Source organism: Homo sapiens, chromosome 4 (assembly GCF_000001405.40).
Source record: "Homo sapiens chromosome 4, GRCh38.p14 Primary Assembly".
NCBI classification, from domain to species: Eukaryota; Metazoa; Chordata; class Mammalia; order Primates; family Hominidae; genus Homo; species Homo sapiens.
In genome coordinates, this window is record NC_000004.12 from 55,489,327 (window position 1) to 55,506,156 (window position 16,830).

Here is a 16,830-nt window from a genome sequence, read left to right on the forward strand (position 1 = left end):
GGAAAAATATCATTTTACGATGCATTCTAAGATGCACCTTTCTTTACCTTTTGTACTCCTTGGATCTTTTAAACTGATTCTTCAGGAAACTATAGGTTCAAGGTACTCTTCTATATGACCAACCATAAGTCTCAGAATTCTGTTTAAACAAGAAAAAATGTTAGATTTATTCAACTTACATAGAAGTTTATCATTAAAAGGGTTTTAAAATAATTTTTAAAAATAAAATTTAGAACTGTCACAAAAATGTATATAACCAATTTTAAATTCTATAAATTGTTTCTAAAAGAAAACAAAATAACTTAAAACATGAATAAACTAAAACAATCACTTAATTCTGGTACAGAAGTTAAAAGATAAAAGTATTAAAAAACTGTAACTATAAAAATGTTAATGAGTATACAACATAAAAGGATAACATTGTGACATCAATAACAAGGGAAGAGTAAGAAAGTTACATTTTTATATGCAATTGAAGTTAGATTGTTATACGCTTAAGACAGACTGTTTTAACTATAAGGTGTTTTTATATATAAGCCCCATGGTAATCACATGTGAGGACTGACACAAGAAAATGAGAGGGGAGTCAAAGCACAACTACAAAAAATAAAGAAAGAAAGAAAGAAACACAGAGAAAAACAGGAGGAAAGGAAAAGAGGGACAACAGCACTACAAGAAAGACAGCAAGCCCTTCTCTATCAGTAATCACTTTAAACGTAAATGGATTAAACTCCTCAATCAAAATACATGGAGTGGCTGAATGGATTTAAAAAAAAAAAGAAAGATCCAACTGCATGTTGTCTCCAAGATTCACCTCAGATTTAAGAACAGAAGCTGAAAGTGAAAGAATGGAAAAATATATCCCATGCAAATGGCAGCCTAAAGAGTATAAGTGACCATACTTAGATAAAATAGATGTAAAGTCAAATACAAGAGACAAAGAAGGACATTATATAGTAATAAGAGTCAATTCATTAGGAAAATATAGCAATTATAAATATATATATATATACACCCAACATCAGAGGACCCAAATATATTAAGCAAACATCAATAGAACTGAAGGGAGAAACAGCAGATACAATAGTAGCAGGAGATGTCAATACCCCACTTTCAATAATGGACAGATAATCCAAGAGAAATCAAGAAGGAAAGCATAGATTTAAACAGTGTATCAGTACAGTCATCCTTTGTTATCTGACATGGACTGGTTCCAGGACCCCCCACCAAATATTAATACCAAAATCTGCAGATGCTTAAGTCCCTTATATAAAATGATGTAGTATTTGCCTATAACCTATGTGCCTCCTCCCCTATACTTTAAATCATCTCTAGATTACTTATAATGCATAATACAATGTAAATGTGATGTAAATAGGTGTTATACTATATTGGTTTCTTAAATTTGTATTATTTGTAAATGGTTTTATTCTCTGAATATTTTTATCCACAGTTGGTTGAATCCACAGACGTGGAACCTTCAGATGCAGAAGGCCAACTGTATAGACCAAATGGACCTAACAGACATACACAAAACATTCCACCCAACAACAGCAGAATACACATTATTCTCAAGTACACAGAGAACGTTCTCTAGGACAGATCACCTAATAGGGCACAGAACAAGTTTTAACAAATTTAAGGTTGAATTATACTAAATATCTTCTCTGATCACAGTGAAATGTCAGAAGGAAAACTAGAAAATTCATAAGCAGATGAAATTTAAACACACTGTTGAATAACCAAAGAGTCAAGGAAGACATCAAAAGAGAAATTAGAAAACATCTTGAGACAAACGAAAACACAACATACCAAAATGTATGGGATGCAGCAAAAGTGTTCTGACAGGGAATCTTATTTCAGTCAATGACTGCATTAAAAATGAAGAAAGATTCCTGCAGGTGTGCTAAAAAAAAAAAAAAAAAAAAAAAAGGAAAGATCTCAAACAATGCAACTTTATACCTCAAAGAACTAGAAAAAGAAGAACAAAGCCCATAGAGAGCAGAAGGAAGGAAATATGATTAGAGTAGAAATAAAACAGTGAATAGGAAAAAAAAAAAATCAACAAAACTAAGAGTTGTTTCTTTGAAAAGACTAACAAAATTGACAAATCTTTAGCTACACTAGGAATAAGAGAAGACTCAAAATCAGAAATAAAAGGAGAAATTACAACTGATGTCACAGAAATAAAAAAGTATTTTTTTGAGACAACTCAATAAATATACACCAACAAATTAGATAACCTAGAAAAAATGGATAAATTCCTAGAAATATGCCATCTACCACGAAGGCTGAATCATGAATAGAAAAATGTGAACAGAGTTCACAGCAGATTTATTCATAATGGTCTAAAACTATAAACAATCCAGATGTTCATTGACAGTACAATGGATAAACAAAATGTGGTATTCATATAATGGAATGCTATACAACAAAGAGAAGACTGCATGCAACAGCACAGATGACTTTACAAGAGAGTACATAGTTTTTTTAAGAATAGACAAATTAATCAGTAAGTCAGAATGATAAAATAAAAAAAGAAAATCTGAGCAGACACATATAACTTGTAATTATATTGAATCAAAAACTTCCCAATGAAGAAAAGCCAGGACCATATACATGACTTCACTGAAGAATTCTACCAAACACTGAAAGAATTAATACCAATCCCCCTCAAATGCTTCCAACAAACTGAAAAGGGAACATTTTCAAACTCTTTATGAAGCCAGCATTATGCTGATATCAAAGCCAAAGACACCATAAGAAAAAAACTATAGACCAATATTCCTTATGCATATTGATGAAAAATTCTCAACAAAATACTACCAATCCAAACGCAACAGTAAATTAAAAGGATTATACCACATGACCAGGTGGTATTTATCCCTGGGATTTGAGCAAGGTTCAACATATATTAATAAAACCAATCCATGTGCTACACCACATCAACAAAACCAAGGATAAAAATCGTATGAGGGATCTCAATTGATGCAGAAAAAGCATTTAACAAAATCCAACACCTATTCATGATAAAAAAAAAAAACGCCATTCAACAAACTAGGAATAGAAGGAATTTATAAACCAAGAAAAGGAGGAATTTCTCTTTCTTAAAAAATAAATTGGTTTGAAAATTATGCCCTTTGACTCAGTAATTTCACTTTGAGAAATAATAAAATAATCAAAGATGCATCTAAACTTTTATATTCATTGAGATATTATTAAAAATAATAAAGCTAGGCCAGTCACAGTGGCTCATGCCTGTAATCCTAGCACTTTGGGAGGCTAAGGTGGGTAGATCACTTGAGGTCATGAGTTCAAAAACAGCCTGGCTAATATGGTGAAACCCCATCTCTACTACAAATATAAAAATTAGCTGGGCATGGTGGCACACGCCTGTAATCCCAGTTACTCGGGAGGGTGAGGCAGGAGAATCGCTTGAACCCAGGAAGCGGAGGTTGCAGTGAGCCGAGATAGCGCCACTGCACTCTGACCTGGGTGACAGAGCGAGATTCTGTCTCTAAAAAAAATAAAATAAAATAAAAACAGTAAAGCTAGAACAAATTTAAATGTCTAACTGCATTAACAGTGGCATGAAAATATATCAGACATAAACCTGAATATAGCAAAAGTATCAACTGTGATTGCTCCTAGGTAGTTTATGGATGGTGTTTTTTGTTCTTTCTTTAGTACTTTCTAAAATTTCTCCCATGAACATGCATTACTTTTATAATCAGAAAGCTTAAGTGCTGCATTTTTTTTCTTTTTCTTTTAATTGTCCAATACTAGAGGCCTAGCTATACATGAGGAGGCAAATAAGATAAAACACAACCTGTTATCTATTCCAGAGAACAAAAACTTAACAGAGACTATTTTTCTAGCCATTTAAAGAAAACAAAGTTTCATCTAGTTAATAATTTTAAAATTATTAATTAAAAATGGCTAACTCAGGAATTTGAATTTTAAAAATTAAAACTACAGTTTTTCCCTAACCTAATAACCTACTGACCCACTGACCTACTTTGGAATTTAGGTTTGTTAATTCTGATACCACAGGTATTTCGGGAACTGACGGATCTATTAACATTAATTAAAAGTAGTGCTGAAATTTAATTGACCGGTATAATACAAAACCTAAGGAACAAACCTTAACTACTTTTATTACCACTTATGAAAAATTCTAACTTGCTTCTGCAGATTACTGATTTTGTATTATAACTGAAACAGTAATTATTTCTAAGAGAAAAACTATTTTAACTTGCAAAGAAAGGCCCAAATATTTAATACTTTTTAGATTCGTTGTTTAATGTACGAGGAAAAAATGAAATTAAACAGTGGTTCTCAATTTATTCAATATTGAATGTATTAGCCACCTCTACAACCGATATAAGATATTGGCAAAATAAAACACATATTTGGTTTTACAGCTATCTCTACAATCAATTTAAATTTGAAAACTGACCTGTAAGAATAAGAACCACATCCCAAACCAGTTTTATGAACCAGACCTCTTAAAACCAGAGAGGATTCTGGCTCAAGACAAACATCAACTGACACTATAACTCTAGCCTGCTGAATGTCAAGATGTAAGATATTCACTAAACCTCATTAAATAAACAAAAACTAAAAAATTAATACAGTTCTCTTAGTGGGACAATACTATTCCAACGATTCAACTAATATATATTTTTCAAGTAATGTCTGAGCTTTGTATTCATATAACAGACTGATCTTGCCCACAGAGTATAGGAGCACCTTATCCCCTTTTCAGAGATAAGACTAAGGCCTACATCTGTCCTCAGCCCCAAGTAAGCCCCACATAAAACCTGAAGGTGGAGGGAGAGCACAAGCCTCAGAATGAATTTCACATGTAATCAGGTACCATAAACCTGAAGCTATACGACTCTACACCTGGCCTTCATCCTGACACCAGCAGGAAGAAAGAGGGAGCCCTGTGGTAGGCAGAATAACAGCCTCCGAAGAATGTCCATTCCCTCTTCCCTGGACCTTATGAAGATGTTATGTCACATGGCAAAAAAGGACACTGCAGATGTGATTAAGGATAAGGATCTTGAGATGTGGAGATTATCCTGCATTATCCAAGTGGGTCCAAAATAATCACGTGAGTTCTTAAGAGGAAAGGACCTTTCCTAGCTGTGGTTTGATATATCAGAAAGAACGGTCAAAAAGATGGCAAGTTAAAGGCATAAGAATGATACAATGGACCATGGGGACTCGGGGAGAAGGGAAGGATAGGAGGGGGGATGAGGGATAAAAGACCATACATTGGGAACAGTGCTCAGGTGATGGGTGCACCAAAATCTCAGAAATCACCACTAAAGAACTTATCCATGTAACCAAACACCCCCTGTTCCCCAAAAACCTACTGAAATGATAATTCTTTTAAAAAGATGCAAAGTTGCTGGCTTTGAAAGTGAAAGAAGGTGGCCACAAGCCAAGGAATTCAGGTAGCCTCTACAAGCTGGAAAAAACAAGGAAACAGATTTTCTCCTGAAGCCTCCAGAGAGAAATGCAGCCCGCTGACACCTTGGGTTCAGGTCAGTGAGATTTGTGTTGGCCTTCTGAGCTGCAGAACTGTAAAACAATAAATTTGTATTGTCTTAAGCCATTAAGTTTGTGGTTATTTGTATGGTAGCAACAGAAAACTATACAGAATCCGGTTTCTCTCGATAAACCTGGCTCTCACCAACACTTCCCTTTCAGTATTTACAGCAACCTGCATAGGAGATCATCAAAGAGAATCCCATTATGCCCTCCATTCTTTTTACATCAGTCAACAAGAAATGCCCAAGACTCCCAAGTCATCCCCCATCCCTATATACTTTCATCCCTATATACTCTGTATGTCCCTACACTGACCCCTTTTCTCTTCCTCCCCCAATTCCCGAAATCCTTTCGCAGTGTCTTCTGGAACTCATGGTACACATCGTCGTTAAAATATCCTATTTCCTCAGTATTGTTGTTGCACACTCTTCACCTTACTTGCTCCCAGCTGTAACCTCTCTCCCCTCTGGGAGTTCTGCTCTAACTCCAGCCCTTTCAAACAATGGCTTCTCTCTCATGTGAGATAAAATATATTTACTCTCCCATATCTCAGATGACCAAGCCCTGTTGGTGGGGTGAACTTCCTTGTAACTCACTGTCATTTCTGAATTATTCTCTCCCTCCCTAAAACCTTAGCTTTGACTCTCATGCCACCAGACTACATCAGCTATTATCCCCTCCTTATTGTAGTCATTCACAAACCCCAGGATAAGCCCCTTCACTCCACGAAGGGTGTGACCCTCTCCAATACCTCTTTTGAATTTCAATGTACACAAAATGATCCCCCAAAACTGGCCAGTGAGTTCCTTGATCTCTTCTGCAACAATTTTGTGTTCCACCCCACCTCCCACTCATTCTGCTAGTGTTACCCCAGAATTCACCATTACTAATATCCAAAAGACCCTCCGTATCCTCAATTTTAAGCATCTAAGCCCTCTCTCACAAACTGGGATAGCATGTGATCCACCTGATGCAAAAAGACAAAAAACACAAACTTTTTTTAAAAAAACAAAAAAACTGCTGGGCGCAGTGGCTCACACCTGTAATCCCAGCACTTTGGGAGGTCAAGGTGGGTGGATCACCTGAGGTCAGGAGTTCAAGACCAGCCTGGCCAACATGGTGAAACCCCGTCTCTACTAAAAATACAAAAATTAGCCGGGCGTGGTGGCAGGCGCCTGTAATCCCAACTACTTGGGAGGCTAAGGCAGGAGAATCGCTTGAACCCGGGAGGTGGAGGTTGCATTGAGCCAAGATTGCTCCACAGCACTCCATCCTAGGTGACAGAGCGAGAGGTCGTCTCAAAAAAAAAAGAAACAATCAAAAAACAAAAACAAAAAAACTGACAATATAGCTCTAACTTATTTATGTTGGGTCTTTAAAAAGAAAAAAAAAACTGTGCCAGCTCATAATCTTTGTTGGAGCCTCAGTTTCTCTTCCTAGTAAAGGCACAAGGGAGTAAAGCAAGTTTATTTGACATGGTCGGGAAGACTAAACATAGTGACAGTCAATGATTGGTTATGTTGTTAATTACCTTCTATGAGAAATGCTTCATTCTTTTTCATGTTTCTCTAAACTCTAGCCTTCCTTTTGACCACTGAGTCCTTTATACACTTATCATATTGATAAGCTATTCTGTGGCAAAATGTAATGATTGCTTACCACTTTAATATAGTTCAAGTTGTGCTGACTATAAAAACTTTTTAAAATTCCAATTTACAGTATTTACTAACACAAACACATATAATGCAAATAATGAAAAACTTGTTCAGGGCTCTAAGGCTTCTGAAGATTATTTATCACATTCCAAGACACCAATTTTCCTTTCTAGCTTTAGTCTTATTTCTCCTTCCTCATTTCCCATTCTACTTTACTGTACACAGACTCCTTATTCTCCAGCTACACTAAGGAATCACGTCACCATTCCTAGATAGTAGAAAATAAAGACCTCTACGTAAAACAAAGGTTTGTCCACCAGTACCCAATATATTATCAACATAAATATCTTAATACAATAAACTGGAATTGACCTTCACAGAAAATCATATTGTCATTCACATCAAGATTCAACTAATCATGATATAAACTTTATGTTATTAGTGAAAAACTGAAGAGGTACTATGTGCTTCCTATGGCCTCTATAAAAATTATCACAAAGTTAATGGATTAAAACAACACAAATTTACTATCTTACAGTTCTGTTGGTGAGAGCCCAATATAGGTCTCACTGGGCTAAAATCAAGGTGGGCTAAAACCGAGGTGTTGGCAGGGCTGAATTCCCTCCTGTAAGCTCTAGCAGAGAATGTTTCCTTGCCTTTTCAAGCTTTAGAGGCCACCCGTATTCTTTAGCTCATAGCTCCCTCTACTCCATCTTCAAGCCAGCAGGAGGCCAAGTCCTTCTCGGGCTGCCATTTCTTCTGCCTCTTTCTTCCCTTATTACATTAAGCCCACATAGATAATCTAAGATAACCTCCATATTTTATGGTTAACTGATTAGCAACCTTAATTATTCCTTGCCATGTACCCTAACATAGTGGCAGGTTCCAGGAATCAGGATATGAACCTCTCTGAAGGGTCAGTATTCTGCCTACCACGTACCATGGACCAAAAAGTCTCTGTTTGGCAAAGACAAAATCAAATATTTTTTGAGGGGAAAGGTGAAACATCAAAGGATAATTTGATCTATTAATAGATAAAAGACTACAGTACTATGCCAGTAGTTCTTAACTTCTGAACTATCTTAACCTTTCATATTTCTTAAAGGGAATTGGAAAATAATGTGTATGACAATTCAGGCTGCATGCGTTCAACTGTAACTAAAGTCTAACTTTATTGCTATATGGTAGCAACAGGCTCTAGGGATATTCTTCTGAACGGAAAAATCTGTCAATGTCCAAATGAATACTAGCACATATTTCCCCTTTTGGAAAACTAATTGTTACACCATAAACACATATGATGTAATTTATATGCACTAAACAGATTGTCCAAAAAAGATGAATTAAACCCCAGACTTTGTAGAAGCCTATTTTTTAAAAGGGCAAATGTATATAGATTTCTGAGATGGATCTCCAGAAAAAAAAAAAAGAGATACAGAATTTTAGCAACCTAAAAGAAGTACAGAATTTCATTAGTACTATAAATCCTCTAGGGACCTCTTAGGAAATCGGATTATTAAGTAGTACTTTGACAATGCTAGGTTTAGAGCTAATTCATGAGTTGTTTAATAACATACAACTAATATGTATAAATATAATGACAATGTTTGACATATTATGTACTACATCTATGAGGTCACCAGAGCCACTTAAAACACCACCAAAAAATGCATCAATTTTCAAGGCCACAAGTATTCCCCTTTGTGCAATAATCATTTCACTGAAAAGACAGTTGTTTTGACTTATTAAAACTCGGGTAAACTGCCAGCTGCTTTTGTGTAGCCAAGTAGGCCCGGCAAATTCAAAATCATCTGAAAAGTATTTCAAAGAAGTTTAGATGCATCCTGAACCACAGATAATTCAGAAAAAAACTACCATAAAGCATGTCTTCTTCACTAAAATAATCATTATATCTAAGTTTATATTTAGGAAAAAATGTAATCCCTTTGAACTAGAAGATTTTGCAATATATAATTTATACATATGTTACCCATTTCTGCTTTTCTGTCCCTATTTACTTTCAAAGCTTTCAAATTTAAAAAATTGATCTATCTAGTTCCTTATTATTATTATTATTATTATTTTAACCCACTGACTGTTTGATCCTTACCCTAAAATGACAAGGTGTGGAAAATGGCAGGCCAAGACCATATCTCAATCTGTGGAGTGGCAGGGGAGATGGGGCTCAAACTGCATAGGTCTTTGCATCACGTAAGTAGGAGTAAATATAGGATAAATGAGGACGTGTAGGTAGTACAAGAATCCACCAGCCAGAAGGCCTGTGACCAGGTTTCACAGAATCCAACATGGACATAACAAGTATATTATAGAACAGACATATACTCTTGATACAGAAGACACGAGATCTGATGGGATTTCTACTGATTCATCTTTAAGCTCACTGACTCTTCTGTCATCTCCATTGTTACTGAGCCCATGCAGTACATCTGTATTTCATATATTGTATTTTTCAGCTCTGAAATTTCCATTTGATTATTTCATATAGTTTTTATTTTTCAGAGAACTATTTTTACACTCCTTTCAGAAGTGTTCACTTTTACCTCATGAACATGAGTACTTTAAGGCTTTTTTCTGATAATTCCATCATCTGGATCATCTCAGAGTTGTCAACTGGCTTATGTTCTTTTTCCTTTAAAAATGGTCAGATTTTACTGTTTCTTTGTATGTCAAGTAATTTTGGATCATATCCTGGACATTCTAGATATTAAGTTATGAGATTCTAGGTTCCATTAACATCCTCTAAAGCAGCAGTCCTCAACCTTTTTGGCACCAGCGACTGGTTTCATGCAATACAATTTTTCCATGGACAGCGGGGATGGTTTCTGGACAAAACTGTTCCACTTCAGATCATCACACTTGTTAGGGATGGTTTCTGGACAAAACTGTTCCACTTCAGATCATCACACTTGTTAAGTTAGATTCTCATAAGGAGCATACAACCTAGATCCCTTGCACTCGCAGTTCACTGCAGGGTTCACGCTCCTATGAGAATCTAATGCTGCTACTGATATGACAGGAGGCGGAGCTCAGGCGCTAATGCTCACTAGCCAGTCACCTACCTCCTGCTGTGCGGCCTGGTTCCTAACAGGCCACAGTACCAATCGTTGTTTCAGTTTTCAAAGCGTTCACAATGCTGCTTAAATCTATCCTCCGCATGCATCTCTCAGGGGCAACTCTGGGATTTGAGCAGTGGTTTACACCATAGTTCAGCTCTCTAGGTCTTTGCCATGTTTCTTTCGCTCTGTTCCATGTACGTGTAGCTCATGGATGCAGTAGGTAGGACCTTTGTGTGTTCATACATGCAATTAGGGAATCTCCCCCCAAACTAGGTGTCTTCTCTTTGAGACTTCCAAAGCATGCTCCAGCTTCCAGAGTTCTCTTTCCCAATTCCTCTGGCCAGAGAGACGGCTTTCTTCTTGGGATTTTAAGTACATATACCACTATGGCAATGTAATTTTACAAATGGAGATGGTCTCAGGGCACAGCTGGGAGAGAAAAAAAGGGGGGAATTTTCTTTGTCCTATGACTAGAAATAAAGGGTTTCTCTTGGAGTTTTTGCTAACTGCTGCACTCAACATGTACTTCTACAACCCAGCCTACCATTTGGTTAAAGCTGGATAACAAAAAGAAAAAAAAAATGGTAAGCTAAGCACTACACAAGCTATTCAGGTTTTGACTTCCCTTCTCAGTTTGCCTATTACTGTTTACTTTCGAAAGTCTTCAGATAATTGTTTTTGTTTCTATCTAGAGGGTTTTTGTTGTTGTTTTTGTTTTGTTTGGGGGGAGTGGTGTGTTTTGAGATAGGGCCTCACTCTCTCACCAAGGCTGCAGTGCAGTGGTGTGAACACAGCTCACTGCAGCCTCGACCTCCTGGGCTCAAGCAATTCCCTGCCTCAGCCTCCCAATGTAGCTGGGATTACAGGTACACACCATCATGCCCTATTGATTTTTAACTTTTTAATTTTTTGCAGAGACAAGATCTCATTATGTTGCCCAGGCTGGTCTCTAACTCCTGGGCTCAAGCAATCCTCCTGCCGTGACCTCCCAAATTGCTGGGATTAAAGGCATGAGCCATAGCATCGGCCTAACCGGGGTTTTAAGTTCTAATCAGAGAGGCTTACTCCACTTTTGCCTATCCATTATGTTTTATCCATTTCCCAATTAAATTTCACCTAATGGCTTTAGTAGTCACGACTAATTGTTATCTAGAATCATTATTTCATTAGGAGTATGCACTGTGGTGAGTTTGTAAGCCGATCGTTCTCCAGTGTTTCTGTTTGTTTGTCTGTTTTTGCGCTTGTTTTTGAGACAGGGTCTTATTCTGTCACCCAGGCTGGAGTGCAGTGGCACAATCTCAGCTCACTGCAGCCTCGATCTCCTGGGTTCAAGTGATCCTCCTGCCTCAGCCTCCTCAGCAGCCGAGACTACAGGCATGCACCACCATGCCTAGGGCTAATTTTTGTGTTTTTAGAAGAGACGAGGTCTTGCTATGTTGCCCAGGCTGATCTCAAACTACTGAGCTCAAGCAATCCTCCCACCTCAGCCTGCCAAAGTGTTTGGATTACAGGCATGGGCCACCACATCTGACCTCCAATGTTACTTAATAGCTACAATTCTTCTAAAGATATGCTTTCCCTCTTAACTATTTGGTAGTCCTGGAATATAATCTCTACAGAAAAAGATTAATAAATGGTTGACTTTTTCCTTTCACTTACCAATTATTTTCAGAATAATAAATTGGTGTATATGAGGGTTTTTTAAAACAATTATTATGAATTCTTGAATTACTACATTTTTGTGTATTTCAGTGTACTATAATCATTACACTTTTTAGTATTTATTTATATTAAAATTTCTGTCTTTTTTTTTAAGAGACAGGATCTCACTCTGTCACTCAGGCTAGAGTGTGGTGGCCTAATCACAGCTCACTGCAACCTCAAACTCCTAGGCTCAAGTGGCCCTCCCGCCTCAGCCTCCCAAGGAGCTGGGACTACATGCATGAGCCACCATGCCTGGCTTATACATATTTTTTTAAATTTGTCAAGTGCAGTAGTGAGAAGAGGGTGAAAGAGTAGAACAAGGAGTTCAATCTGTAACGGACTGTGAACAATCAAATGAAATAACCCATTACCTTTAGACTAGTCATAGTACACTTTTTTAAACCTATTTTTATGGGAAATTACAAATATACACAAAGTTAGAATAATAATATAATTAATCCTATATATCCTTCACCCAGTTTCCATAATTATCAACTCATGGCTAATCAATCTTGTTTCATCTGTTCTGCTCCTTCCCTTCCTCTCCACTCTTTCGGATTATTTGAAGCAAATCCCAAGTACTGTATCATTCCATCTGTAAACAGTCCAGTATATTTGTATAAACTACAAGGGCTTTTATAAAACATAACTACAATATCATTATCATATCTTACGAAGTCAACAAAAGACATATAAGACCTGTTTTTACACGTAAAATAACAAAACGCCCTGAGAGAAATTATAAAAGTCTAAATGTAAGAAGGCATACAACCTTGCAATTGATTGGAAGTCTCAACACTGAAAAACATCCAATATCTCCAAATTGATTTATAAATTCTACACTAAGCTAGACAAAATCCAATCAGGTTTGTGGCGGGTAGTGCGGAGGACTGCTTATAAGCTGAGTGCAGAATTTTTATTGAAATTCAAAGGATCACGAAAGCCAAGGTAATTCTGAAGAACAAATTAGAGGATTTAAACTATCAGATATCATGACTTATTATAAAGCTACAGTAATTAAAAGAGTATGGCAATGGCATGACAGACCAACAGAATAGAGTCCAAAAATAAATCCATGAATAAACAGTCCCTTGCATTACAACAAAAGTACTACTGCATTACGGTAGGGAAAGGATGATCTTCTCAATAAATACTACTGGAACAACTGGACTTCCACACGGAAAATAAAATGAACTATGAGGCTTACATATATCACACATAAACCTAAATGCAATAGTTGTAACAGTCAAGTTTATAGAAGAAAACATAGATAACATCTTCTTGGCTTTAGGGTAGGCAAAGATTTCTTAAATGAAACATAAAAAGCGTTAACCATAAAAAAATTTGATAAAATGGACTTCATTAAAATTAAGAAATTATCTTAATCAAAATACACTACTAGAGTGAAGAAGCAAGCCAAAGACTAGGAAAGATATCTTCAATACAACTGAACAACTGAAATTATCTATTTCTGGGGTAATCAAGACAACCAACTCAACAGAAAAATCAGCAAAAGACATAACAGTCATATCCCCAAAGAGGATATTCAAATGGTCAACAGGCATTTGAAAATATTCTAAGCCTTTTAAATCATCAGGGAATTACGAATTAAAACTACAATAGACCTTTACTACATATGCTCCATAAGAGCTAAAATTAAAAACACTAATAATTTCAAGTGTTGGTGAGGATGTAGAACAATGAGAACTCTTTGTACACTGCTAATGGGAATGTAAATTAATTTAACTACTTTGGAAAACTAGGATAATCTCCTAAAGCTAAACAGCCAGATACCTTAAGACCCAGCAATTTCACTCTTAGGTGTCTACTCAACAGAAATGTGTACACATGTGGACCAAAAGACACGCTCAAGAATGTTCACAGAAGTATTCTTCATAACAGCCAATACTAGAAACACCCCAAATGTTCATCACAGTAGAATAAATACTGACATATCCATACAATGAAGTATTTCACAGCAACAACAGAAAAGATGAACCACTGCTACATGCATCAACATGGATGAGTCATAAACAAGATTTTAAAAGGCTAGGCACAGAATTCAAAAATAGACAATACTGAATGAGTCACATAATAGTTATCTTTGGGAGTGTGTAATAACTGTTAAGGGGCATGAAGGAGGCTCCTGGGTTGACGAAAATGTCCTATATCTTATTCTTGATATTAGTTAAATGGGTGTTGACTTCATAAAAATTCATCAAAATGACACTCAGGATTTATGCACTTTATAATATGTGTGTTATAATTTGATGAAAGAGTAAACAAAAAAAAGTTAGTGATATCATGTCAGTCCCTTGATTTTTTAAATTTAATTTTTTTTGGTTATTTGACTATGAAATTAAAAAGTCTAGTAAAGCTAAGTTCTACATCAGCCTGCCTCTTTGTGGGTACTAAAAGTCATGTTCACGTTCTTTCTTAACACAATTACTGAGGAATTGTCTTGGTATGTGGATCCTTCCCATAACATGAGGTCAACAGAAAGTCTAGCTTGAAGCTAGAGTTATCCAATATTCACAAACTAGAAAATTGTAACACTGCAGGTACTTCTTCTTAGTGTAATTATAAACAATCAATTTTTCTTTATTACATTCCAGATCACTAGTTTCCACAGTTTCTATTTGGCAAAAAGAGGTAAAAAAAAAAAAAAAAAAAAAAAAAGCCGGGCACAGTGGCTCACGCCTGTAATCCCAGCACTTTGGGAGGCCAAGGCGGGCGGATCACGAGGTCAGGAGATCGAGACCATCCTGGCTAACACAGTGAAACCCTGTCTCTACTAAAAATACAAAAAAAATTAGCTGGGTGTGGTGGCAGGCGCCTATAGTCCCAACTATTCGGGACCCTGAGGCAGGAGAATCACGTGAACCCGAGAGGTGGAGCTTGCAGTGAGCCAAGATCGCACCACTGCACTCCAGCCTGGGCGACACAGCGAGACTCCATCAAAAAAAAAAAAAAAAAAAAAAAACACAACTTGAGGCTTCACATCTAAGCTTAGTTTTAGCTGGAATTGAAAACACTCAGCAAATCAAGGCAATGTATCACAATAAGGTTGTCATAAGAATGAAATAAATATTAAATGTAAAGTGCTTAGAATATAATGCCTCAAAGTAAATGCTCAAAATTGTATTAATACCGTTCTAAGAAACACATGTAACAGACCCTTATTCTTGAATTTCCTTCAAAATATAATAAATATATGGTAGTAAAACCAGACCCACTTTTAAACAAAGTATTTTTATGGAGCTGAGAACAAAATCAATTTTTAATGAATCTGAACTGAACATATTAAAGTACAGGATCAATAAAAACTTAGTAAATTGTACTCAAGAATTTTTTAAGTTCTAAATTATACTTATTGGTATTTAACTATGACCCTACGATTAAAATAACTGAGATAATCAGGAAAAATACTGCTAATATAAAGAGCTCATCTTTGCATTGTATTTTTTACATTTGCAAAGTTGTATTTCATTTCATTACCATATTACTATAAAATAATTAAACCTATTTTATAAAACTTAAGTCATAAACTTATTAAATCCAGCAAAGAATCGCAGAACAGGCCAGGCGCAGTGGCTCACACTGTAATCCCAGCACTTTGGGAAGCCAAGGAAGGCGGATCATGAGGTCAGGAGTTCGAGACCAGCCTGGCCAACATAGTGAAACCCTGTCTTTACTAAAAATACAAAAATTAGCCGGGTATGGTGGCACACACCTGTAGTCCCAGCTACTCAGAAGGCTGAGGCAGAGGTTGCAGTAAGCTGAGACAATGCCAGCCTAGGTGCCAGAGCAAGACTCTGTCCCCCTCACCCCCCCACCAAAAAAAAAAAATCACAGAACAAGAAATACTTATACTTGTGATCACATAATGATACGCCACCAAACAAAAAAATTCTTTTCAATAACAGTACCATCATGTAAACAAAGTATATGTAAAAGCAGTTTGAAAAAAAAAGGGGACTATATTTTTTAAGCAGTCCTATTGCAATACTCTAAGTGTATTTTTAATGGAAATAAATGTTAATTTGAAAGTAACAGTAGCCAGGCAAGGTGGCTCACACCTGTAATCCCAGCGCTTTGGGAGGCGGAGGCAGGCAGATCGTTAGAGCTCAGGAGTTCAAGACCAGCCTGGGCAACATGGCAAAACCCCTTATCTACTAAAAATACAAAAATTAGCTGGGTGTTGTGGCACGTGCCTATGGTCTCAGCTACTTGGGAAGCTGAGGCAGGAGGATCAACTAAGCCCTGGAAGTCCAGGCTGCAATGAGCTGTGACTGCACCACTGCACTCCAGGCTGGGTGACAGAACAAGACCTTGTCTCAAAATAAAAAATAAAAAATAAAATTAACTGGATGTAATTTCCAGTTTTATACATAGCTGCTAAACATGTTTCTTAAACTTTATACTTGGAAATCATTCAAACATGCAGAAAAGTTAAGAATAGTTCAAAGAGCTTCTACATATCCTTTATCCTGATTTGACCAACTGTCAACAACAATCCTGTTGACCAACTGTCAACATTTTGCATTATTGTCCATATCATACATAAACATATTTTTTGAACCATTTGAAAGTAAAATGCACATATCATACCTTTTTACCTCTAAATACTTCAACTATACCTCCTAACAACAAGGATATTCTCTTAAATATCTACAGTATAGTTACCAACTTCAGGAAACTTAACAGTTATACAGTATCTTAATGTAATGCCTATTTTCTCTCTTTTTTTGTTTTAGTTGAGCAAAAACTGCCCTCCAAGACTTTTTCCCTCTTCCAATACTGAATCCAATCCAGGGTCATGTACTGCATTT

The 16,830-nt window shown here is 36.4% G+C and overlaps 1 protein-coding gene across 17 annotated transcripts in view, besides 1 other annotated feature; it reads right to left on the bottom strand.

The window, feature by feature from the left end:
* Positions 1-16,830, bottom strand: part of CLOCK (clock circadian regulator) — a 119,007-nt gene that overhangs the window by 61,424 nt on the left and 40,753 nt on the right. For 16 of the 17 annotated variants that reach the window (XM_011534410.3, XM_047416432.1, XM_047416436.1 and 13 more), the window contains one exon: positions 48-139. The gene's annotated coding sequence lies outside the window, so the exon portion shown is untranslated. Of the gene's footprint in view, positions 1-47; positions 140-1,812; positions 1,902-16,830 lie in introns of those variants that run through there. The other variant, XM_047416440.1, reaches the window with a different exon arrangement.
* Positions 10,136-10,430: an enhancer, noted in NCBI's record as "tiled region #12160; K562 Activating DNase matched - State 5:Enh". NCBI's record gives its function as "activates a minimal TATA promoter and a strong SV40 promoter by Sharpr-MPRA in K562 cells {active_cell/tissue: K562}" and the evidence as "EXISTENCE:reporter gene assay evidence [ECO:0000049][PMID:27701403]".